Source organism: Homo sapiens, chromosome 4, assembly GCF_000001405.40.
Source record: "Homo sapiens chromosome 4, GRCh38.p14 Primary Assembly".
NCBI lineage: Eukaryota > Metazoa > Chordata > Mammalia > Primates > Hominidae > Homo > Homo sapiens.
The window spans coordinates 77,904,553-77,930,836 of record NC_000004.12 but is presented as its reverse complement, the minus strand read 5'-3'; the positions used below and the strand labels follow the sequence as shown (position 1 = coordinate 77,930,836).

The 26,284-nt window shown below is 35.8% G+C and overlaps 1 protein-coding gene and 1 long non-coding RNA gene across 4 annotated transcripts in view; one reads left to right on the top strand and one right to left on the bottom strand.

Annotated features, from left to right (window-relative positions):
• Window positions 1-12,438, top strand: part of LOC102724916 (uncharacterized) — a 34,112-nt gene extending 21,674 nt beyond the window's left edge. Inside the window, exon 4 of the long non-coding RNA XR_001741744.2 lies at window positions 12,360-12,438. This is a non-coding gene — a long non-coding RNA (uncharacterized LOC102724916). The remainder of the gene's footprint in view (window positions 1-12,359) is intronic.
• MRPL1 (mitochondrial ribosomal protein L1) overlaps window positions 1-26,284 on the bottom strand; it is an 89,956-nt gene that overhangs the window by 21,949 nt on the left and 41,723 nt on the right. For 2 of the 3 annotated variants that reach the window (XM_047416089.1, NM_020236.4), the window contains exon 7: window positions 21,465-21,571. In XM_047416089.1, coding sequence (XP_047272045.1) covers window positions 21,465-21,571 — 107 coding nt within the window. Of the gene's footprint in view, window positions 1-21,464; window positions 21,572-23,630; window positions 23,892-26,284 lie in introns of those variants that run through there. The other variant, XM_047416090.1, reaches the window with a different exon arrangement.

Below are 26,284 nucleotides of genomic sequence, written 5' to 3'. Positions count from 1 at the left end.
AGTGCGGGAAAGAGGTGCAGAGGGAAGTGGTAAATCAAATAATAGGCAGGACATACACGGACTAAAATAAGGGTTGGATTCTGACTTAAAGCCTGCCACCAAATGCAGCTGCACAATTGAAGTACATCAGCTTACCTGCCATTATAAAGCCTGCCACCAGATGCAGCTTTATTGTCACCTGCCACTCACTGACAGGGTTCTGATATGAGACTGCAGCAATTGATTTATTATGGCCTCTGTGTAGTCAAATTTCTCTGCTAATGTTAATCTGTATTTGCAGTGGCTCCCCGGCACTAGTATCACTAACTCGGCTCCGCCTCAGATCATCAGGCATTAGATTCCCAGAAGGAGCATGCAACCTAGATCCCTTGTATGCACAGTTCACAATAGGGTTTGCATTCCTTTGAAAATCTAATGCTGCCACTGATGATGACACAAGACAGAGCTTGGACAGTAATGCGAGCCATGGGGAGCGGCTGTAAATACAGATGGAGCTTTGCTTGCTCCCCCACCACTCACCTCCTGCTGTGAGGCCCAGTTCATAATAGGACACGGACCATTATCAGTCCATAGCCCAGGGATTGGGGACCCCTGCCCTATACCTACTATTACTACAAGGAGACATGATTTCCACTTCTCAAGCCTATAACTGGACGGTTTCTCCTGGAGCTCTCTCTGCCTACACTTAGGTCTGCTGCCTAATTTCAGGCAGTGTTGAGACCAGGCCAGGTGACGACAGAAGGGGACAAATGGCAAACTTGCCACTAGTTTGATGGTACTTCGAAATCTGGTCTTCTCTCCCAACCTGCTATTATTTACTTTTCAGAATCCTCAAGTAGCTATTCCATGTATTCTGTCCATTTATAACAGCTGCATTCAGTGGGAGAGAGAGGGTGTCTTGTGATTATGCTGTCTCACCTGGAACTGAAACCTCCCAGGTTTATACATTATGTATTTATATTTTAAACTTGGTAAATATTTTTTGTAAAGAGATAGATGGTAAACATTTTAGACTTTAAGGGCAACTTATGCTTTCTGTTCCATATTATTCTTCTATTTTTTTTTTTAAATAAAACCCTTTAAAGGGGTTCTAAGCTCACAGGCCATACAAAAACAGGCCACGGAGCCATTGTTTGCCAGCCTCTGTTTTAGAAAACATTATTTATCTACAAATACATGAAAATTCATATAAAGACAAGCTGTGGTATAAGCTATGCTTTACATCACTTTAACAAATGAATATTTGCCAAAATCTGTAATGGGAGAAGGGTGCTCTGAGGCAAAAGCAGCTTTTATCATTATTTATGATAAAGCTGTTTGGAAAATGCTTAACTTTGTATTTATATTTAATAATTCATAACATGGCCTTATAGATGTTTTTATTGTTTCTGTAAATACTATATTAATAAATGTTATTTTTTTTAGATGTAATACTAATGACACTCATAAGGAATTATCTTTCAGATCCACTTAATTTCTTCTCCAGGCATTTGGATAAAGACAGAATTCAGTAAATGCTATCATATTTATCCACTGGTTTTAAATTTGTTTTTGTTTTTATTTTTATTTTTATTTAGAGATGTGGGATCTTGCTATGTTGCCCAGAATGATCTTGAACTCACAGGCTCAAGAGATCCTCTTGCTCAGCCTCCTGAGTAGCTGAGACTACAGGCATAAGCCACCATGCCCAGCTTACCACTGCTTTTTAAATAAAGCCAACAAAAGAAAGCTGCCTATGCAGCAAAGTGGCTGGCAAGGGAAAGGAGATCAGTTTACTCCCTTTTTACACATTATGCAACATTTATATTTTTCATCATGTGTCATTCTATTATCTATGATCACTACATTGTAAATACAATGGATTAATGAGAAAAGTTAGCTATTTCTCTCAAACGGTATGGTTTTTCTTATGCTATTATTCAAATCTGTTAGTAGGGGAGAGTCACACTTTGAATTTCCAAAACTTCTGGGAAATTAAAATCTGATTTTGTGATAATATAGGTAAGAACACTAGAAATGATAATAAATTATTTTTGATCAAAAATAGTTTTTGATCAAAAATAATTCAAATGATGTAACATAAAATACTGCAAGGATGACTCACCCCAACTAAATATACTTCTCTTATAATAAAGCAACAAAGACAGAGCTGACACAGAATGGAGGATTCTGGATAAATATTAGTTTTTCCTCTTTCTTAGCTCCATATCCTTGGAGATCTAAGATCTATTGCCAGCCTACTTCCTCTACTTTACATTCTAAAGTTTATTTTCCTCTCTTTATAATTCCCTTATTTATGACACAGTACACTATAGTACACCAAAAATAATGCAACAAAAGAAAAGTTAATTATTAACTAGAAGGAATAAGGGAAAAGGAGGAAGGGAAGTGGCAGTGAGCCATGAACCAATGGGCTGCTTCCTTTTATCCAGTTATTGTTTGTAGATGTAAGCAATATTCCTGGCTAGCTACTATTTCAACCTATGGACCCAGTTGCTTCAAAATAAGCATTTAATTTCCATGTCTTATACTATCCACATCTTGCTGTTTGGCTGAACTCCAGAACATTCACTTTTCCTGTTCTAACATGTTCACTAAAACCAAAGGCTCTCTAATTTCAACATAAGATTTTACTATTGTTTATAGTCCCTTGTCCTGAACTTGTTTATTTTTGTTACAATATGCTTCAGCTTTTATCAGCTGCCAGGTTGACAATACGCTTGCCACAAAACCATTCACTGTTACACAAGCACACAAAATGATACTCACCTATAATTGGACCATGTCTACACTTTAAAAAGAAGAAAAACAAAGAACATATCAAAGGCTTTGCTTTTATATTAAGTATGTCAAAGCTCCAAATATATTTGAAATCCAGACAAGAAATACTTGTTAAATCAGGCCTTGACATGATTTGGTATAAATATAACTCTGAGTTGTCTTACTCTTTTCTTCTCTCTAGAAAACAAGCTTAGATTGGATTTGCCAATAGCATTATTATTTACATGTTCTCAAGATCTGGATATTTACATGATTGTAATATGGCTATAGTTTTTTTCTTTAATGTTTTAACTTAATGCCTAATCTCCTAGGCTATCATATAAATGCATTTATATATTGTACTTTAAAGAGGTTTTTCATCATTTCAATTGTACTTAGTGAAATTTTTATCATTTTTCCTCATTCCAAATAATCAAGATTTTATATTTGAATTAAATATTATTAAAATACTATAGTAATAGTTTTTAAACTGAAACAGAACAAGTAACATCCATATTTTTAAAGTATGTAGTTTATTTACAATACTTTATTTGCTTTTATTGACTTAACTTGATTTATAGTATACTAACAGGAATCTGTCCTGTGATATAAAAAAACAGAGTAGGGCTCTACTCACAGGAGGAATTGATGCTTCACAATAAACTTACTGATGTCACTAACTTGGAATTAATAATTCAGAAACTGTGCCAAATATGTTTTAAAAACATAAATAATGTAAATAAGATTATAAGAAAACATTTAAACATCTTTAGAAAACAACCTTTTAAAACAACAATTTGTTAATTATATAGCATTAATTCAGGCAACATCTACCAGGCAATATTTTTTATTAGACACTCTGTAACTAAAATTAATTAGGTTGCATGTCATTGAAAAACTATTCTGTGAGACACACTTCCCACTAATTCACATTAATTTTCTGATAGGTTTCATTCTATCTTTCATGTCTTTCTGACATGTAAGTAGATGACCAAGGAGGGAGGGAAAAGTATAAAAGAGTGGGATAAAAAAGTAATGAGAGAAAGGGAAGAAGAAAATAGAAATGAAAAACTTCAAAGAGCTATTAAAAGAAAAAAAAGGTAAAGAGAACATGGGAGAGAGGAAGACAGAAGAGAAACCTGAAAACAAGCATCAAAAACAAGTTATAGGCCAGATGAGGCAGCTCACGCCCGAAATCCCAGCACTTTAGGAGGCCAAGGCAGGTGGATCACTTGAGGCCAGGAGTTCAAGACCAGACTGGCCAACATGACGAAGCCCCGTCTCTACTAAAAATACAAAAATTAGCTGGGCACGGTGGCATGCGCCTGTGGTCCCAGCTAAACAGGAGACTGAGGCAAGAGAATCACCTGAACCCAGGAGGCAGAGGTTGCGGTGAGCCAAGATCGCACCACTGCACTCCAGCTTGAGCAACAGAGTGAGACTCTGTCTCAAAAAAAAAAAAAAGTAAAAAAGAAAAAAACTATAAGAATGATTCTTAAATCATGTCAAATAGTTCTCACAAAGTACCAGAAATGACCAAGTATCTCTTTATCCAGAAATGGAAAGAGAGAGGAAAGCCACCATGAATGTTCAAAATGGGAAGGAAAAAATTGTAAAGCTGGGTCAAAAGCCTTACTATCATTAGATCCTTGAACTAAACCTCTTCTTATCTCCTGCCTAGAGGGTGAGGCCTGGCTGCCAGAGTTCTGGGAGCTAAATCAAGGAAGAGAAATGGTGGTGGAGGGTAAGGGGAGTTTCTCAGCATTCAATATTGATATATTCACTTAATCTCCTTATTTTCAGTTTCAACTCCTGATCTCCCCCAGTGTAGAGACCCTATATTTTAATCTCTCCAGTCATGTGCTGGCAAGGAAAGGGCAGTTACCCAGCATGATAAAGTAAGGATAAAAAAATTCCCTTTTTCAGATTCCTCCTGTCCCATCCCCAAGCTCACCACTAACATGCAGTTCCAGAGGTATCTAGAGCCCCATTTTAAGTCTTTTAAAGATACTAAGGTTTAGATTGTGTTTGGCTTTTGCCATTGCTGATTTAAGAGTTGGAATTTTCTAATAAGTTACCACTGTGGTGTTCAAACCACTATCTTTACCTAGAATTCTCAGAACACATGTTATTTTCAAGTGTCCATATATGCCAGAATGAAAGTCTCAAGATATTTTAAAAAATAGAAACTACAAAGGATGCATTCTTCAGCCATAAAACAAAAATATTAAAAAACTTAAGCCAAAAAAGGTTGCAAAGTATAAAATACTCTCCCAAATAAGAAATAAAAAGTGCCATTGCAGACTACTTAGAAAATAATAACAAGAAAACTAAGAATCAAAACATGGTGATGCAGCCAAAATTGTAATTAGAGGCAAATTCACACACTGAAACTCTTTCATCATTTAAAAAAAAAAAACCTCACAAATCTCATATATAACTTAGATAATCAGAAAACCAACAACACATCTCAGAAAAACAGGATAAGGAAAAAAAGCAGCAATAAACTACAAATTTAAAAAGTACCAATAATTAAATTTTAAAAACTGTTCTTAAAAAGAAAAGTACTTAGCCGGGCATAGTGGCGGGCACCTGTACTCAGGAGGCTGAGGCAGGAGAACGGTGTGAACCCGGGAGGTGGAGCTTGCAGTGAGCCGAGATCACACCACTGCACTCCAGACTGGGTGACAGAGCGAGACTAGGTCTCAAAAAAGAAAAAAAAACAAAAAACAAAAAAAAAAAAGTACTTAATTATATCTCTATAAATCTATTCACAGTTAAATACACACACACATATATATCTAATTATATAGTTTAATACATATTAAACATATATATTTCATTATTTTTCATACATATATGAAAATATCCCTAGCCTCAGGCTATGCATGCTAAAATGTTTACGGGTGAAGTACTACAATGCCTGTTACTTACTTTCAAGTGGTTTAGAAAATTCACAAAAGAATACCTACTAGTTTCTGTAAGTAATCTAGTTGTATTAGTTTTTGTAAGCAAATGTGACAAAATTGGTAAATCTAGGTGATGAGTAGTATATGGGTGTTCTTTGTACTGTTCTTTCAACTTTTCTACTCATTTGAAATTTTTTGAAATAAAAAAGTGGGAGAAAACATATGCAGATACTGAGGGCATTTACAAATAAGATTCTAAGTACAAAGTTATGCTAGTAAATTTGGATGGCTTTCTTAGGTATATAACTACCAAAATTCACTTAAGAAATTAAGAGAAAAAACAGACTATGAGCCATGAAAGATGAAAAAGGTTATTAATTTATTCTACAAATACTGAGTACCGATATGTACCATAAATTTTTCTTGATGTACAAAGTAAAATGAATAGACTATGAGTAAAAATGATAGGCCACGTTCTTACCATCATGAAGCTAACACTCTAGTAGGAAGGAGAGAACATGACAAACATGACAAACATACACATATATAGCATGCCAAGTAGCAATAAGCACTATGAAAAAAAATGTAATCAAAGGAATGAAAGGCATGAGGACTGCTTTGTGAGAAGGGGTCTCAAGGTGGGGGCTTCTCTAAAATGTGGTATTTGAGCGGAGCCGTGAATGAAGGGAGGAGGCAAGATTCAGAACTATCTAGTGAAAGATGGGTCCAGTCATAAGAAACAGTAATTATCAAAGAATTATGACCCTCCTCCAAAAATAAGCTCTTGGACAAGCTGCTTTTATTAATTTTTTCAAACTTGAAAGACAAAGATAATTCCCATGTAATATAAACTGCTCTTGAGCACAGAAAAAGATGGGAAGCTTTGAAGTTCATAATCCTGACATCAAATCCAGATAAAAATGGCACGAAACACACTGATTAATAGTACCAATAACTATAGATGCAAAAATCTAACAATCATCAAACTAAATTCAAAGGCATTTAAAAGATTCTTGTATAACTATATTTTCCAAGGTTTATAATTTCCAGCTGAGAGAAACCAGTGGTGGTCTGCAATCAACATGAAGGACAGAAAGAATAGGGAAAAAAAACTCACTGCATTGCATATAATAAGTATAGTATCATTAAACTATTTTTTTTTTTTTTGAGACAGAGTCCTACCCTGTCTCCCAGGCTAGAGCACAGTGATGCAATCTCGGCTCACTGCAACCTCCGCCTCCCAGGTTCAAGCGATTCTCTTGCTTCCGCCCCTGAGGTTCAACCGATTCTCCTGCTTCCATCTCCCAGGTTCAAGCAGTTCTCCTGCCTCAGCCTTCCAAGTAGCTGGGACTACAAGTGCATACCACCACGTCTGGCTAATTTTTTTATTTTTTGGTAGAGACGGGATTTCACCATGTTGGCCAGGCTGGTCTTGAACTCCTGGCCTCAAGTAATCCATCTGCCTCAGCCTCCCAAAGTGCTGGGATTACAGGTGTGAGCCACCACACCCGGCCCTCATGAAACTTTTTTCTCACATACACACATAAGTTTGATTGAGTCATGATACAAAAATTATTTTTTACTATGATAGTGGCCAGAAATATTTGGAAAACAATAATATACAATAGGGTTTATCCTTGGAATATAAGAATAGTTGGATATAAGTTAGTATGTTATGTCAATAGATTATAGAAAATAATTATCTCAACAGATTGTTTTAAAAACTATTCAGTAAATTCCAATGTATATCCACAATTAAAAGGACAAACCAGGGTCGGGCACAGTGGCTCACATCTGTAATCCCAGCACTTTGGGAGGCTGAGGCGGGCAGATCACCTGAGGTTAGGAGTTCAAGTCCAGCCTGGCCAACATGGTGAAACCCTGTCTCTACTAAAACTACAAAAATTAGTCAGGTATGGTGGTGCGCACCTATAATCCCAGCTACCCAGGAGGCTGAGGCAGGAGAATCGCTTGAACTCAGGAGGCAGAGGTTGCAGTGAGCCAAGATCACGCCACTGCACTCCAGCCTGGGAGACAGAGCGAGACTCCATCTCAAAAATAAATAAATAGATAAATAACAAAAATATCAGCTCCTCTGCTAAATATCAAACCTCTTTTAAAAACTATTCATTTACATAATAAAGAATATTTAAACAAACAGCAAACATCATACTTACTGAGGAAAATCAAAGTTTAAGAACTATCTATATGCAGATGACTCACAAATTTGATCCCTATCCCAGCCCTTTTCTCTGATTCAGACTTGAATATCCAATGACCTATTACACAGTTCCATTTGGACATCTAAAAGGCATCTCAAACTTAACAGGTCCAAATCTGAGCTTCTGATAATAACCCTTCCGCCTATTCATTTACTCTGCTTTGTAATCTTTCCTATCAATTAGAAGCAACTTCATTATTCCAGTTTTGTCAGCAAAAAATCTTGCAACCATTCTTGGCTCTCTTCACTTTCTATCACACCTCATATCCATTCAATCAGTAAATTCCATAAACTATATCTTTAAAGTATATCCTGACTCCAGTCAGTGTCATCACTTTCACTGTTAATGAATAGGTCCAAGCTACTCTCATCTCTAGCCAAGGTTATTGCAAAAGACCCTTAACTGGACTCTGCTTCCATCCAGGTTCCCTTCAGTCTACTGCCAATACAGCAGTGAGACTGAGCCTTTTAGAAGCCAGATCATGTTAGTCTGCTCAATCCCTTCAAAGGGTCTCCATCTCACTCTAACTAAAAGACAGTAGCCTTACTATGACCTAATCACCTACAACCCCTGCTCTCTGCTCTAGCCACGCTAGCTATGCTAGTCCTCAACCATACCAGATATACTGTCAAGGCCTTGCATTTGCTGTTTCTTCTGCATGTAACGCCTTCCTTCGGTCACTTTCTTTGGATCATGATTCAAAAGTCATGTTTTTAGAGAAGTTCACATGAGATATCCTATCTAAAATTTCAATATCCTAACTCTACTACTTACATACACTTCCTTCTTCCAACTTGTTTTTTCCTCCTTAGCACTTCCATCTAAAATACTTTCTTTTTTTTACTTATTTTCTACCATTCATCTTCTATCAACAGATATCTACCTTTATACCATCTACACGTCTATCCCATGAAGGCAAGGATTGTTGTCTACTTTGTTGATGTATATAACCCCATTATCTAGAGTAACGCCTGGCATATAGTAGGTACCCAATAACTATTTGCTCAACGAATGAGTCATGAATTCCTGATGGAAAACACAACCACTCACCCAAGAAAAATGTACACATGCACGTACACACAGTACTCTGCATAAAATTTCAGGAAGTTCACAGAATCTTGAAGTCTATTGTTAGCCTCATAAGGGTTTCCTGATGTTAAAAAAAAAAAAAAACTCTGCACGAAAGGCTTTTCTATTCAAATAAAAGCAAGTTAAGATTGCTATTATGTAAAGATATTCAGGAATGTATTGTCAGTAAAATATGTAATTCTATGTCCTCCTGTATCAAAGTAGTTTCCTTTGTGTATTTAATACTTTTCTCAGAACTTTTTGAGCATGTTTTTCTTCAAAGATATTTTAGCCTTTTCTAACACCCAGAAGAAATACCTCTTGTTCCTATAAAAGCTCAATCCCCTTTTTTTCTCAGAGCCTTTGTACTTGCTGCCTCCTGTCTCAAGAATACTTTTCTCTCAGATATCTTCATAACTTGTTCTCTTATTTCATTCAGTCTCTATTCAAATGTTACCTCCAATTTAGAGAGGCAGGCCTTCCCTGACCAACCTTTCTATAATAGCCACACATACACACACTCCACCATCATAAGTACATATATATTTATTTGTATATTATCTATACCCTAACTAGAAAGTGATCTAGTTGAGGGCAAGAACTTCTGGACAACAATATATCCCCATAGTTAGGAACAGTTTTTGCCACTCGGCAGGCATTCAGAATGTGTGTACATGTGTACTTTGTCATAGAAAATAGTAATAAAGGGACAGAGAGTTATTAAAGGAGATGCCAGCACATGTAGAACCACTGAAAAGTTTTTTAACTTTTACTAGATTTGGTGTGATATGCTGAAGTCCTAAATCAAGGAATGAATGGGGCCGGGCGCAGTGGCTCATGCCTGTAATCCTAACACTTTGGGAGGCGACCGTGGGCAGATCACTTGAAGCCAGGAGACTAGCATGGCCAACCTGGTGAAACCCCATCTCTACTAAAAATACAAAAAATTAGCTGGATGTGGTGCCAGGCGCCTGTAATCCCCACCTACTCAGGAGGCTGAGACACAAGAATCAGTTGAAACAAAGAGGTGAAGGTTGCAGTGAGTCAAGTTCGTGCCACTTGCACTCCATTGTGGGGGACAGAGTAAATAAGACACTGTCTCAAAAAAAAAGGATGAATGGAAGGGAGAAGGGTACTATAGAGGGAATAAAAGCAAAATCACCCTTCTTCCTTTAGAAGAAGAAGAGAATTTGTTCGGGACATAAAAGTATGTGCTAATTAGCAGAAGCCAGACTTCCTGTGTTTGTATTTCAACTTTTGCCACTCAAGAAGCAAACCTCAGGTGATCCCACATGCAGGTTCCTATAGTCTCTCTGCTCAGCAGTTTTCCCTTTTTTGGGAAAGAGCTTACTAGAGCTACGGCTGTATGAAGCAACAGATCTCAAGACAATGTGTGATGTTTCATTTCCTTACTTTCTTACCTGAAATGTATGAATATGGATTAATTTCTCTTTAGATTTTCTTTTGAAAAACGCTATGAACCCAAGGAGTCTCCAATGTTCTAAGATAAAATATCAAAATTCCTTATTTTATGATTTGTCAAAAAATATTAGAGTAAGTCATTTTAAAAGGCTTCATTTGTATATACAGGTACACTTGAAAGGAATTACTTTGAAATGAAAAAAAGCAGAAGTTGATTGAAAATATAGCAATCTTTAACTAAACATACTTTTGAAGACCAAACATGTTTTACAAAATGTGGCAAATTCTACCAAGTTGCTACAATGATAGCAAAGCACTTATAAAGACACCAAAATTATTCTTAAAAAGATAAAAAACTAAGTCACTTTCATAGTACATTGCACTTCTTTAAAGTTCCAGTGTGCATTACCTATGCAAATCTGTTTTTATTTCCAACTTTTACCTAACTTTATTAATCCCCAAAGATTTTTTAGTTAGAATTGACTGTAAAATCTAAAACCTATGAAAACTACAGTAAGTGCTTCTATATTTATGAAACTCTACCCAACTGGATTCAGCCATAAAAGTCTGCTAATTGCTACTAGAAAACACACACACACACACACATATATATATATATAACATGGATCTGATTTTACAGGTTCTTGAATATATATATTTTATAGGTTCTTGAATATATATAATAGGTCATGAGAGTTATGTAATTTATTATGGTATTAAATGTTATGAAAGGCTAAAAAAAGCAAATAAACACATTTTAAATTTTTCTTTAAACTATAGCCATGCCCTATTTTGTTGATAAATACTTCTTATGACAAGTCCTAATATACCGTATTTTATAGCTTAAGTAATTTTTTCCTAGTGGAAAGTTCCATTCTTTGATTACCACTCTCAGCAAATGAAAGAAACCTCAACTACAATGCTATCACTTTTCTTTGTTTTTGAAATATGTGAGGTAGTCAATATTAACAAAAGTGAAAGGAAAGAACATTTTAGTTTTTGACAAACAGAAAGGTATTATATATACCTCTGTAAAATGGGATAGTCAACATTTATAGAAAATTAGAAAGAACTCTTATCTTATAATGAAGAACAAGTGAAGAAAACCCAGCAACAATGTAAGTGGCCTTCGATTACACTTAGAAGTGTTCTGGAGAAGCAGGCTGAAGGCCAAGTATTTTAAATCATGCAAGAAATCTAACAGTGAAAAAAAAACAAAGCAAGTTCTGAGAGCCTCACAGCTAATATAAAATGGATTTGTGGTATGTTATAAAATACTAACAGTCACCCTTTGAAAATTACTTCAAAGTCTCTATTCTGACAGGTTAATGCTACAGTATTTGGACACGTTTTAACTTTCTTGAGTAACATCAAACTATACACCTGCCTAAATATTTTTATAATAAATAGAGGACAAGACAGTTAATTCTGTCATTTTGTGAAATTCCAACAATTCCAGCGATATTACTCCACTTTTAAAAGTTTAGTTTCACATTGGTTAAATTTTGTAGACAAAAGCTCTCCCACTGATTCACTATATAATTTGAAATGTTGTTTAATAATTTCTAATTGATCTTAAATTAGAAAATTTTGTTTATTCATACATATATATATATTCATCCAACAATTATTTATTGAGTACCTGCTATATGTCAGGCACTCTTCTAGGAGTTGGGGATATAACAACAACAAAAAAATTCTTGCCTTCTATTTTCTTATTCCTTTAGGTTTCCTGGTTCTTCCTCAGGTATGGCAAAACCTTAATTTCTCCCCAAATCTCTCCCCTCTTCTTTTAATAAAGTTTAGCCAGGTATATGATCACATGATCACCCACCTAGATGCTACAAAACACAGACCTTGAGCTAAGCCGTATGACTAAGCTATGGACCATGGGATGGGGCAAAAGTGATGAGAGCAATAGCTCACATGCTTGTAAGAAATTGCTTATTCTGTATCTCCTCTTGCCTCTTTCACACAGGCTACAATTCAGACATAGTAGTCAGCAAGCTTCAACCACATAGAAAAAAAAACCCTAGAAGACTGCAACAACAAAAAAGAGGTGGGGTGGAAACCTTGATCCCTGGATAATCCTGTGGAGCGAAGAAGCCCTGAGCTGAAAACCAATTTAAACTTGGGAGAAAATTAACTTTCTATCAAAGTTAAATCACTGTTATTTGGTTTCTTTAAAACAGTTGAATCAATAATGTGTGGTCCACTGATCATCATGCATGTTATTTTGAAATACGAACGACCCTTTATCTACCTGGTATATATTTTCGAACTCCTCCTAGAACCCATCCTTGACCTACTTGTTCCATTGCTACTCCAAACAATCATTGCTACTTTTCTGTAACTTCTATATCATGTATATATATAAACACATACCTTTTTTTTTTTTTTTTGAGATGAAGTCTCGCTCTGTTGCCCAGGCTGGAGTGCAGTGGCGCATCTCGGCTCACTGCAACCTCCGCCTCCCAGGTTAAAGCAGTTCACCTGCCTCAGCCTCCCAGGTAGCTGGGACTACAGCATGCACCACCATGCCTGGCTAATTTTTGTATTTTTAGTAGAGAAGGGATTTCACCTTGTTGGCCGGGCTGGTTTCAAACTCCTGACCTCAGGTGATCTGCCCACCTCAGCTTCCGAAAGTGCTGGGATCACAGGTGTGAGCCACTGCACCCAGCCCAATATACACATTTCTATTATTATACTCACCACATTTTCCTGTACTTTATTTACATATCTATCTCGCCTACGAGAAGTATTTTTCTTGAGGAAAAAAGGTCATAATCTTTTTGTATCACCAGCATTGTGTCTGGATCAGAGCCAGTATTTTTACATATTTGTTAAAGAGAATTTACATATTAAGTTGGTTGTTTTCTGTTTTTTTTTATGCTTAGATTCTAAATGAGCTAACGATAATTTTACCTGATCAGAAAATAAAGCTTAAGAAAAGTCAAAAAATAAGGATAATTTTTTAAATACATAGGATACATTAAAAATCCCTACTGTATCATGGGTCAGAAAAACCGGTCCCCTTTTCTACTGGATAGAAAAGGCTTTCTTTTCAGTAGTTAGCAAATGCCAGGCAATCTCAGTGTTTGTGAACACTTCAATTTTACAATCAACTTTTAATGATCATGGCTCTTGTCAATTTTATTTACCAGGCACTTGTAAACAGAGCAGGTGATGGTAGGGGTGAGTCAGAAACGGTCTATGGTAAAAGGAGTCAATAGGAGACTGCATACACAAAAAAGAGAGTTGTGGAGAATAAGAGTGGGGCTAGGAATATGAAAATAAAGGAAATAAGAATGGTGGACAGATGAGGAAATTCAGAATCTTAAGGGGTAAAAGAGAATAACACTGTAACCAAAGAAACAATGATAATGTTCACACTGAAATTTTTAAGCTGTTAAAAGTACACATGTGCTCACACTCACACCTATATCAACTTTCAAACTGACAAAATGTTTAAGTGTGATAATACCCAATGCTAGTGAGGGTATAAAGATACAAGTACTTTAACACACTGTTGGATAATGATAAATTAGTATAAACATTTTAGAAAGTAATTTGGGAATTCATATAATAAAATTTTCAACATATACTCTATTTCTATAAATTTACCTTATGGATATACTTAGAGAATTTTGGCAATATTTCTTTGTGAAATTTTCATTAAGTATCATTTGCAATAGCAAAAATCGGGACACAAACTAAAGGCCCATCAATAAGGAACTGATTATGGTATATGATAGAATACAACTCTATGCAGGCCTTAAAAAGAATGTGGCAGATCTCTTTGCATCTTTGATGACATTCATACTATATATTTGAAGACATCCATGCTACACTTTTATCCACAGAAAAGAAAGCTACAGAATAGTATGTGTGGCATAATATAATTAAATGAATTTTATAAGGGTGCCTAGGTTTATGCCTTAATATTTCTGGAAGAACAAAAATAAAACTGTAAATAGAAATTCCACAAGAAAACAATTGCAGGGAAAGGGGCTCTGGTGTTTCTTTATATGCATTTGTAAATTAACTTAACCATGTACATATATTAATTAAAAGTTTTTTAAGTTCCACAAGAAAACTATTGCAGGGAAATGGGTTCTAGTGTTTCTTAATATGCTTTTGTGAATTATTTGAATTTAACCATGTATGTATATTAATTTGAAATTTTTTAAATGTCAAAAGTTATCTGGATAGCAGAATTATGACTATATTATTTTCTATATAGCAAACTCAGATAAATCCTTTTAAAATTATTTAATTACTATCTGAAATTAAACTGCTATTTAGAATATAAACATTGGCCAGGTACATATGTCTCAAATTCATTTTTTGAGAATCTGCCTTAGTTTCATTTCTATGTCATGGAAAGAGCCATTGGGGGAAAAAGGTTGAAGAAATGTACTTTTTCTCCTCTGTAGCTCTTTATTTTCAGTTTTATGCTCTAAGACTTTTCCCTTTTATCTGATCTCTTGGCAGCTTGCTTTTATCCCAACCAATTATGCTTCATGCTATGAGAGAAAATAAATGGTGTCTATGTGATAGCAATATAACTGATTAAAAAATAACATATTCCAATAACTTGTTTTGTCTTCATGATGTTCAACGTATCATCTTATGACATTTTCACTGATATGAGCATTTGATTTGATAGCATAAGACATAACCAATTTCATGACTATGTAAGTTACAGATACAAATGGTAGGAAATATTAAGAACAAAACTAAGGCCGGGGCAGTGGCTTGTGCCTGTAATCCCATAACTTTGCAAGGCTGAGGTGGGCAGATCACTTGGGCCCAGGAGTTGGAGACCAGCCTAGGCAACATGGCAAAACCCGTCTCTACAAAAAATACAAAAATTAGCTGGGCATGGTGGCGCACACCTGTAGTCCCAGCTACTGGGTTAAGGAGCTGAGATGGGAGGATCACTTGAGCCTGGCAGGGAGCTGAGATCAAGCCACTGTACTCCAGCTTGGGTGATACAGTAAGACCCTATCTAAAAAACAAGCAAAGAGAAGCGAAAAAAACTAATTTACCTGCAAGTACTGCTGACAAATGTTAGATACTGGCTGACTGTAAGAGCATTAGTATACACAGTTTGGATATACAAAGGCAGTAGTGGCTGAGTTCTAATATCCAAGATACTAATCCTCAAGTTAAATAATTAAGAAAGATCATTCAACTGACCATATTTAGCACATTGATACAGAAGGAAAACTATAAACTACTCAAGATCAATTCCGTATTACATCAATACTAGAAATGGATCTTGAAATGCAGAATCGTAACACAGAACATCAAGATGATTTAACTACAGTGAGAGTCTCTCCTGTACAGGTAAGTAGACACACAAAACTAATCCATTTCACTCTCCCAAAAAACATCTTTCTAGATCAGAAGTCAGCAAATCAAGAGCCAGATAGTGAATTATTTAGGCTTTGCAGGCCATATCCAGTCTCTGTAGCTATCCTTTATTTTTTACAACCTTTAAAACTGTAAAGACCATTGTTAGCTCACAGGCTATACAAAAACAGGCCACAGCCACAACCAGATTTGGCCCCTGGTTGTCATTTATTGACCCCTGTTCTAGATATCTTCCTTTTATCCAAAATAAGGACGCTTAATAGGCATGTGATACCGTCATACCGTCAGTGCCCTTTTATCTGCTGCACTCATTCTATATCAATTTGTCATAACATATTGGCTACAGACACACACACACACACACACAAATACCACATCTTCAATATTTTCAACTGCATAATAAGAATAATTTCACTCAAGGAAACCTCATTAAATTGCTGTAAAATCATTTCTAAATTTTTAACTATAAGATAATTCTAATAATAAAATTTACGAAACAATTATTTTGCATAATACAATGGTACAGTTTTTTACTACTTTGTAAAACTAAAACCTTGTTTTACTTTTCTAAAACTTGACATACTGCACGTTTTTAATTAATGTTATAGAGGCATACTTTGCATATATTATTTACCATTTTCTGATGTAAAATTCAATGTTTCTTAGTAGGTTGATCGAGTTGTGCAACCATCACCATAAATCAGTTTGAAAACATTATCACCCCAATATGACCATGCACACTTAGCATTAATACCTGTTTCCTCCCACCCCTCCTATGCAACTACTAATCTACTTTTTGTCTTTATACTTTTGCTTTTTCTGAATATTGCATATAAATGGTATCATACAGCAAGTAGTTTCTGTGTCTGGCTTCTTTCCCTGAGCATAATATTCTTGAGGTTTATCCATGTTGTACCATGTATCCTTAGTTTATTCTTTTTTATTGCTACATAGTATTCCATTGGATATCCTCCACATTCTTAATGCCTACAATTCACTAAGCTTTGACTTATGTATACACACATGCAACAATCACCAGTCAGAATAACATAACAATCACTTCCAAAATTTACTGTGTGCCTTTGTAATTCTTCCTTCCTGCCCCTCTTCACCCACCTCTGACCCCAAGGCAACCACTGGTCTGCTTTCTGTCATCATACATTAGTTTGCATTTGCCAGAATTTTATACAAAAAGAATCATACAGGATGTGCTCCCTTTTTTCTAACTTCTTTCACTCAGCAAAATTATTTTGAAATCCATCAGTATGGTAGAATGTATCAACTTTATTTCTTTTTATTACTGAAGAATTTTTTTTATATTCACCTGCAGTGAACATTTGGAAATTTTCCAGTTTGGGGCTATCACAGATAAATCTGATATGAACCCTTGCTTACAGGTCTTTGTATGGACACATGTTTTCATTTCTCCTAAGTATCTAAAAGTGGAATAGCAGGATCATATAGTAGGCGGATGTGCAACTTTAAGAAACTGCCAAATTGTTTGCCAAAGAGGTTGCATCATTTAACATACCCACAAACGCTGTAAGAGTGCTCAAGTCCCACCGCATCCTTACAGCAGTTGGTATGGCCAGTCTTTTTAACTTTATTCATTCCAAATAGATGTGTGTTATCCCATTGTGGTTTTCATTTACATTTCCTAAAGATTAAAGATGCTGAGCATCTTTCCATGTGTTTGTCATCTATATATCTCCATAGTGAGGTGTGTTCATGTTTTCTGATTTTTAAAATTGGGTAGTTTTATTATTGAGTTTTTGACAGTTCTTTATATATTTTGAATTTATCAGATACATGATTTTCAAATATTTTTCCCAGTCTGTAATTTGTCTTTTCTTTCTCTTAACAGTGTCTTTTAAAGAGTAGAAGCTTTTAATTTTTATAGGGTGATTTATCAATTTCTTCTTTTATGGATCATGCTTTTCATGTCTTATCTAAGAAACATCCCCTAACCCAACTTTTTCTTCTCAAAGTTTTATAATTTTAGGCTTTACATTTAGGTCTTTGATTCATTTTTACTTAATTATTATATATGTCTTGAAGTATTGGTTGAATTTCATTTTATGACATATAGACATCCAACTGTTCCAGTACTGTTTGTTGAAAGAACTATCCTTTCTCCAGAAAAAATGCCATTGTACCTTGTGGAAAATCAGTTGTCCATATATGCATGTTTTGTCTTTCTTTCTGGACTCTCTATTCTATTCCATTAACTGTTTTCTTTTGATGTCAATACCACATTGTCTTAATTACTGCAGCTTTATAAATCTTGAAATCAGGTAGACTTCCAACTTTGTTCTTTTTCAAAAAAGTTGTCTTAGCTATTCTAGATACTTTGCATTTTTCTATGAATTTTAGAATCAGCTAGTCAGTTTCTACAAAACTGTTGACTGGTACTTTGAGAATGCTATGAATCTATAGATTACCTTGGGGAAAATTGATATTTTTAACAATATTGAGTCTACTGATCCATAAACAAGGTATATAGTCACCATTTATTTAGATTTTTTATTTTTCTTAACCATGTTTTAAAGTTTTCGGTGTATGGATCTTCCACATCTTTGTCAGATTTACCCCTAAGTATTTAATATATTTGCTATTACTACAAATGGCATTTGTTGCTTTTTCATTTCAATTTCTAATTGTTCCTTGCTGTTATACAGAAACATTTTTGTACATTGAGCTTCTACCTTCAACCTTAGTTAACTCACTTCGTTGTTCTAGTAGCTAGAACATGTAATCTGTGAATAATGACAGTTTCACTTCTTCCTTTCTAATCTAGTTGACTTTTTATTTCTGTTTCTTGCCTGATTGCGCTAACTAGAAGCCCCAGATCAATGTTGAAAAGAAGCAGTGGTGAGACGGATGTCCTTGTCTTGTTCCTGATCTTAGGAGAAATGCAACATTCAGTGTTTCACCACTAAATATGATGTCAGCTTTGACTTTTCTTAGACACTCTTTTCAGGTTAAGGACATGGACTTCTATTCCTAGTTTGCTGAGACTTTTTAATCAGAAACAGATGTTGGATTCTGTCAGATGCTTTCTCTGCATCCACTGCAATGCTCATATGGCTTTTGTTTTTTACTTTCTTAATATGGTGAACTGTAATGATTAATTGTTGAATGTTAAACTAACCTTGCATTCCTAGAATAAACCCTACTTGAGCATGATATGTTACCCTTTTTATATATTGCTGGATTCTATTTGCTAAAATTTAGTTTGCAATTGTTACATCTATGTTCACGAATGATACTGCATTGTGGTTTTCTTTGTCTGGTTTTGGTATCAAATAATGCTGACTGTTTTAGGTAGGAGGATAAATTAGGTCCCTGTTACTCCCCCTTATCCAGAAGTACTCTGCTAAATGGTTATTATGTTATTATCTCATCTATTCCTTCCTAGCTTAGAAGGTACATATTATTACCATGATTTTATATACAGGAGAAATGGGAAATGGGGAAAAATTGAGGCTCAGAGAGCAAGGGGGTACAGCTCTTTCTAGCTGGAACAAGGGTTTGAATCAAGACAACAGGAATCTAAAACCCACTCTCAACATCCTTCTATACTGCAATACTAAGTGTTCAAAAAAAAACTCTTTAAACACATAATTTCTTTTTCATTAAGAAATTATATCTCCTCTGATCTACTACTTAGTGATCTACTACTTAGTGATTAAGACCTATGTCTTAATCACTATGGTATTTGTTGAAAGAAATGAATGCGATGTCATGGTTTCTTATATTCTGAGTCAGGATCTACATAAACTATTAACTACTAAATATACTGAAAACATTACTTAAGACAGATTTAATCCAGCTAAAAAGAGCCTTATAAGGATATTCCACAGTCCCAAAAGGCCAACCAAAACAATAACAATAGATGTTACCATTTTAAAATTTTATGTAATCTTCAAAACCACATAGTGAAAGAAGTACTATTATACACATTTTATAGATGAGGAAATTTGAGACACAACAACATTAAGAAACTTCCTTAAAATCTGCCATCTCTGAAGTAGCTGAAAAGGTAGGTATTCAAACTCAAGTCTCTACAACTTCAGAATAGACTCTTAAAATTTGTATTTTATGTTTCATTTGTTTGGTTTTTCAATTACAATGTTGTCAACCCTAAGAAACAAGAAGTACTGTCAAAGGCCTTTTGGGGAACAAGGAAATTCCAACATTAGACTGGAGCAGAGCTCAGTGCCAAATAAATTGGAGCTGAGCTTTGATGATAATGATGGCAAGCTGGGGTTTCCCCAACTAGATTAAACCTGCTTTGCTCCATTTCTAAAGCAAGTTTTTTTGTTTTTTGACCATAAAACTAGCTGAGAAGCCTAGCATGGTGGCATACATCTGTAGTCCCATCTACCCAGAAGGCTAAGGGAGGATTATTTCAGCATAGGAGTTTGAGGCCAGCCTGGGCAACATAGCACCCAGCTTTTTCTTTACTTTCTGGTTTGGTTTGTTTTCTTTGAGACAGGGTCTCACTCTGCAACCTTGGTGATCCCAGGGATCGCCTCAGCCTCCCAAGTAGCTAGACTACAGGTGCATGCCACCACACTCAACTAATTTTTTTGTATTTTTTATAGAGATGGGGTTTCACCACGTTGCCTAGGCTGTGTCACTCAGCTTTTTCTATATTTCTGATGACCTGCAGTGGGCACAGCTCAATGAGCTTGGACTACTAGCTATAATGCAGAATTCCCCTTAAGAGTAAGATGGGAAGGCAAAGAGAAAGAATAATAGCTATTCAAATAATTCCAGTCATGAGGCAAGATGGTATAGGGATAAAGAGCCTGGACTTGAGGAAACTGCCAAAGTTCAAATGCTTATTCTGCCTCATAGTAGCTGTGAGACCTTGGAAAAGTTACTTAACTTCTCTGGGCTTGCATGCCTTCATCTATAAGACAGGGGTGATCATTTTACCTCTCATATGGCTAACAATTAAAAGACAGAATATACAAAAATTGTTTAGAATAGCAACTGACACTTGGTAGGTCCTGTTTAAATTTTGCTATCAATTTATCAATTACTGTTATTCCTATAGTAAATGAACAAGAAAAAAATTACATATGTTGGATAGGCACTTTAGAGATTCTTTAGTATAAATAACTTTAATGTTTGTAATGACAATATATTTTAAAACACAGTCCTAGAAATGTGGCATATCTACATTAGTATCCTAAAAATGGCTTTGGAAACTGATTTCCAGCATCTTCTAAAAGCAGGCAAACAATTTTAAAAACACTAGCAGAGAAAATTGGACATAATTCATTAAAATAAAGCAAATTACTCAATTCCACTAAAGTAGTATTGAACACCTACTATGTGCTCAGCATTATGCAATCTTGATTAGGGGGACATACAAAATCTAAACCCTATTCTCAATAAGCTTAAAATATAATACATAAATACAAAAGTGTATACATACAACAGATAAATAAGGCAAAGTACAAGTAAATGTGAGAGTAGCACATAACTCTGGAAGAAATTCTCAAGTACCATTAAAATTTATGAGTTTAATTTATAGAATAAAAAAAGTATCTATGCGTATGTTTAATGCCATTCTTAATGCTAGTGCCAAAAACAAGTTCAAATGACTGGCATTTTATAATATTATAAATTACTGAAGAATACTTGAACAACAAAAAAAGAGGATTATTTGATAATTTTCATTGTAACTTACTGTTGCTATTTTGGTCTGGAGAAAGTTCTCCCTTTCTTCATCTACCTTAATTTCATGTCCATTTTTAAATAATTCAAGCATTTTGGGGATGTCACGGCCAATGGAATCTAGTTAGAAAAAGTAAAATCCACAATTATCACTCCAAATAAGTAGTAAAAATTACTGAATAAAAGAAACACATATCTCATGTAAAGATATAGCAAATAAATTGTGGCAGATAAACTTTAGTTCCAAAGAGCTCTGTTTCCTGGTGTTCACATTCATTGAGTGTGAATGAAACTTGCAACTTGCTTCAAACCAAGAGACAGAATAATCATGTGTACATAATTACATTACATAAAGCTATAATGCCTGTCTTGAAGAAGACTATCTTCCTTACTGGCTTTGAAGAAACAAGCTGCAATGCTGTGAGCTGCCATATGGAGAGGGCCACAGGGCAATAAGCTGAGAGCAGACTCAAGCTAACAGCCAGCAAGAAACTGAAGCCCTGTGTCCAGCAGCCTACAGGAACTGAATTCTGCCAACTGTGTAAGTCTGCAAGCAGATCCATCGCCCATTGAGTCTAAGATGAAACCACCTCTCTGGCCAATACCTTGAGTGGAGCTTTGTGAGACCCTTAAGCAGAGAACCCAACTCTGCTACACATACATTCCTGACACACAGAAATGGTGAGATAATAAATGCGTGTTGTTTCAAGCAACTGTTTGTGGTAATATTGTTGCACCATTATGGATAACTAATACCTAAGTATATGCAATAATAATATACAGCATACATTAAAAACACAGATGACATATTAAAATAAAATCTATAAAATAACCTATGGCAAAAGATAACACTGGCCAGGCATGGTGGCTCACGCCTGTAATCCCAGCACTTTGGAAGGCCGAGGCAGGCAGATCACCTGAGGTCAGGAGTTCAAGACCAGCCTGGCCAACATGGTGAAACCCTGTTTCTACTAAAAATACAAAAATTAGCTGGGTGTGGTGGTGCACACCTGTAATCCCAGCTACTTGGGAGGCTGAGGCAGGAGAATTGCTTGAACTCGGGAGGAAGAGGTTGCAGTGAGCTGAGATTGTGCCACTGCACTCCAGCCTGGGCAGCAGAGTGAGACTGTCAAAAAAAAAAAATAATAACAGTACGGTCTTGGAATCTTTTAAGAACATTTTACCTACCATAAAGAAGTGAAAGAAAAAAAAAACTAAAAAGCAGAAACATTTAGCAGTGGAAACAATATCATAGTGAATGATACAGTATAGAGGTAGCTCATTATTACACAAATGGTTACAGAAACTGGCATGAGTTTCTATAGTCGGGCATGGTGGCAGGCACCTGTAATCCCAGCTACTCAGGAGGCTGAGACAGGAGAATCACTTGAACCTGGGAGGCAGAGATTGTAGTGAGCCGAGAATGAGCCACTGCACTCCAGCCTGGCAGCCTGGGCAACAGAGCAAGACTCTGTCTCAAAAAAAAAAAAAAAGAAAAGAAAAGAAAGAAACTGGCATGAGAGGCTGGGCATGGTGGCTCATGCCTGTAATCCTAGCACTTTGGGAGGCCGTGGTGGGCAGATTACTTGAGGTTGGGAGTTCGAGACCAGCCTGGCCAACACGGCGAAACCCCGTCTCTACTAAAAATACAAAAATCAGCTGAGGTGGTGGCGCATGCCTGTAAACCCAGCTACTTGGGAGGTTGAGGCAGGAGGATCACTTGAACCCAGGAGGCGGAGGTTGCAGTGAGCTGAGATCATGCCACTGCACTGCAGCCTGGGCAACAAAGGAAGACTCCATCAAGAACAGGAGGGGAGGGGAGAAAGAAAGGGAGGGAGGCTGAGAGAGAGAGAGAGAGGGAAGGAGGAAGGGGGAGAGAGAGAGACGGAGGGAGGGAGGGAGGGAGAGAGAGAGAGAAAGACCCATGAGAAAATAATTAAAAACTGAAACAATTTATTGGATTCTAATGTCACTTTGTCCTCCATTAGGTAGAGAAAGGGATGCAACTAAATATAGTAAGGAGAAAAATGGAATCAGGATAAAAATTAAGAATCTTCAAAGGATCATACAGGAGACTACAAAATAAACTATTTCTCTCCTAAGATTTAGTCATTATCATTTTAACACAAATTTAATAAACAAAAATATGGTATATTCCACTATACCATAACTTACCTTGAAAATTTAATTCCATGCACTGAAAAATGTGAATTATTTAAAGGGTAAGAAATAGAATGAAGACTGTGCCACTGAAGAGACATCACTCCCACCATGCTCAAGCAAGTCTTCCATAGATGAATCAATGTGAGGAACTCATTACATAGAGAGCACGGCATACCCTCAGCATACATTATTCCTAGGATTATCTCAGCAGTTGTTCAGTTGGCTCAGGAGCACTACAGCTATAAGTGAAAGCAACTACCCATAGGCAGTTTAAAATCTAATTGGGAGATAATGGATATACAAATGAATAATTACTAAAAAATACTAAGTTTTTTCAGTATCACAGTCTGATGTAACTGAATACTAAACAATATGATAAAATTGTATACTAGTAAACAGTTAAGATGCTAATAGTGGTATACAAAAAACAGATACCTGGTTAAACCATCTACATCTCTATTTAAATTTCTTTACTTAAATATATTTTTTTACGTTTGTTTTCATAAGAACAGTGCCTTGTACATACTAAAAGCTCAAGAATTATTTAGTGACTGACCTAAATCTAAGCCCACAACACTGCCTGCCTTCCTGTCACTATGGGTGAACTGTCTATGCCCCTAACAAAGGCCATTCCTCTTCATTTCTGTGCTCAGCCCCACTTCTACTCACCCATAAAAGGACGCTGCTCCTCCCTTCTTTCCTCTACATTGTCAATTTTCCCTGCTTCCCTAGACAATCTTCATTAGCTTACAAACTTGCTATAAAATCTTCCTTTTCAAAATAAAATAAACAAGTCTCCTATGTTGCCTTCCAGTTACCACCCAACATTCCTCTTAATGTAAGTTCTCAAAAAAAAAAAGCCATCTCTATTTCGTGTCCTTCTATTTTCTCTTATACCTACTTCAGTAACCTTCACATTGGCAAATCCAGTAGTCACTTCTCAGTGTTCCTCTGACTTGACCTATCAGCAGGAGTTCACAATGTAATCTGTCCTCTTCCTACAGTATCTTGACTTGTCCTCTGAAACATGATTCTCACTGGCTATTTCATTTCATTTCAAGGGCTGAGCCACCCACCCTCACTTAGCTGCCTTCCAAAGGTTGAACTACCTCAGGGATCAGTCATGTTACTTCTCTTATCCTATCCATGCACACCTCCCTGACTGATCTCATGCAGACACATGGCTTTAAATACCATCTATCCACTGATAACTTCTAAATGCTTATCTCCAGCCCCAATCTCTCTCATGATTTCCAACCACCAATTTGATATCTCTACCTAGATGCAGGCAAGTTATTAGTAAGGAGTAAATATGATAAATGTCTCCTGGAAGAATAAACACATAAAGGACTTCATAATTTTGAGCCTGATATCATACTGATGATGTAATGGTAATGAAGACAGAAAGAACAGGACTCAAGAAGAAAAGAGAAATAGTTCTGCATTAAAACATACTAAAGTGAAGGTCTGATGGAATATCAAAAAATGTATATATCTGTATAGTTAGAAAAAAGGAACTAGAAAAAAGGTGATAGATTGATGATGTAGATTTTAGTTTTTAAGGTAGTTCCATCCTAAAACACAAACAAAACTTCCTTCCTTTGACCTTGTATATTCCTTCTTCTTTGTCTAATTTGCATTTCCCCAATGATCAAGATGTTTAGTATTATTTCATCTGTTTAATGACCAATTACATATATTCTTTTTTTTTTTTTTTTTTTTTTTTGAGACGGAGTCTCGCTCTGTTGCCCAGGCTGGAGTACAGTGGTGCGATCTCGGCTCACTGCAACCTCTGCCTCCCAGGTTCAGGCAATTCTCCTGCCTCAGCCTCCCAAGTAGCTGGGATTACAGGTGTGCGCCACCATATCCAGCTAATTTTTGTATTTTTAGTAGAAACAGGGTTTCACCAGGTTGGCCAGGCTGGTCTCGAACTCCTGACCTCAGGTGATCCTCCTGCCTCGGCCTCCCAAAGTGTTGAGATTACAGGCATGAGTCACTGCGCCCAGCCACGTATATTCTTTTGTACAATACCTACTCAACTATTTTGCCCCTTTTTTAAAAAATTAGGTTGACAGTCTTACTGAGTTATGAGTTCTTTATATATTATGGATACAGGTTCTTGTTCAGAGCTATGTGTGGCAAATATTTTCCCCTAATCTATGACTTTGCCTTTTCATTTTCTTAGGGGTATTCACCCATGAGCAAAAATGTTTAATTTTGATTAAGTCCAAATTAGCAATTTTTTCTTCTATAGCTCATGCTTTTTGTGTCCTAAGAAATATTTATTTAATCTAAGGCCATGAAGATTTTCTCCTAGAAAAATTTTCTTCTAGAATTTCATGACTTTATCTTTTATATTTAGGTCTATGATCCATTTTGGATTAATTTCTGTGTTTGATGTGAGGAAACAATTATCCAGTTATTTCAGCACAATTCATTGAAAAAATTATTCTTTTTCCATATAACCTTGACACCTTTGCTGAAAATCAGTTGATCATATAAGTTTAGGTCCATTTCTGAACCTCAGTGTCTGATCTATCTTCATTTATCCTTTATACCATACCACACTGTCTTGATTACTGTAGCTCTATGATAAAGTCTCACATCTCAAACTGTGTTCTTCCTTTTAAAAATCATTCTCTCTTTTAATTTCTTTTTTTCTTTTTTTTG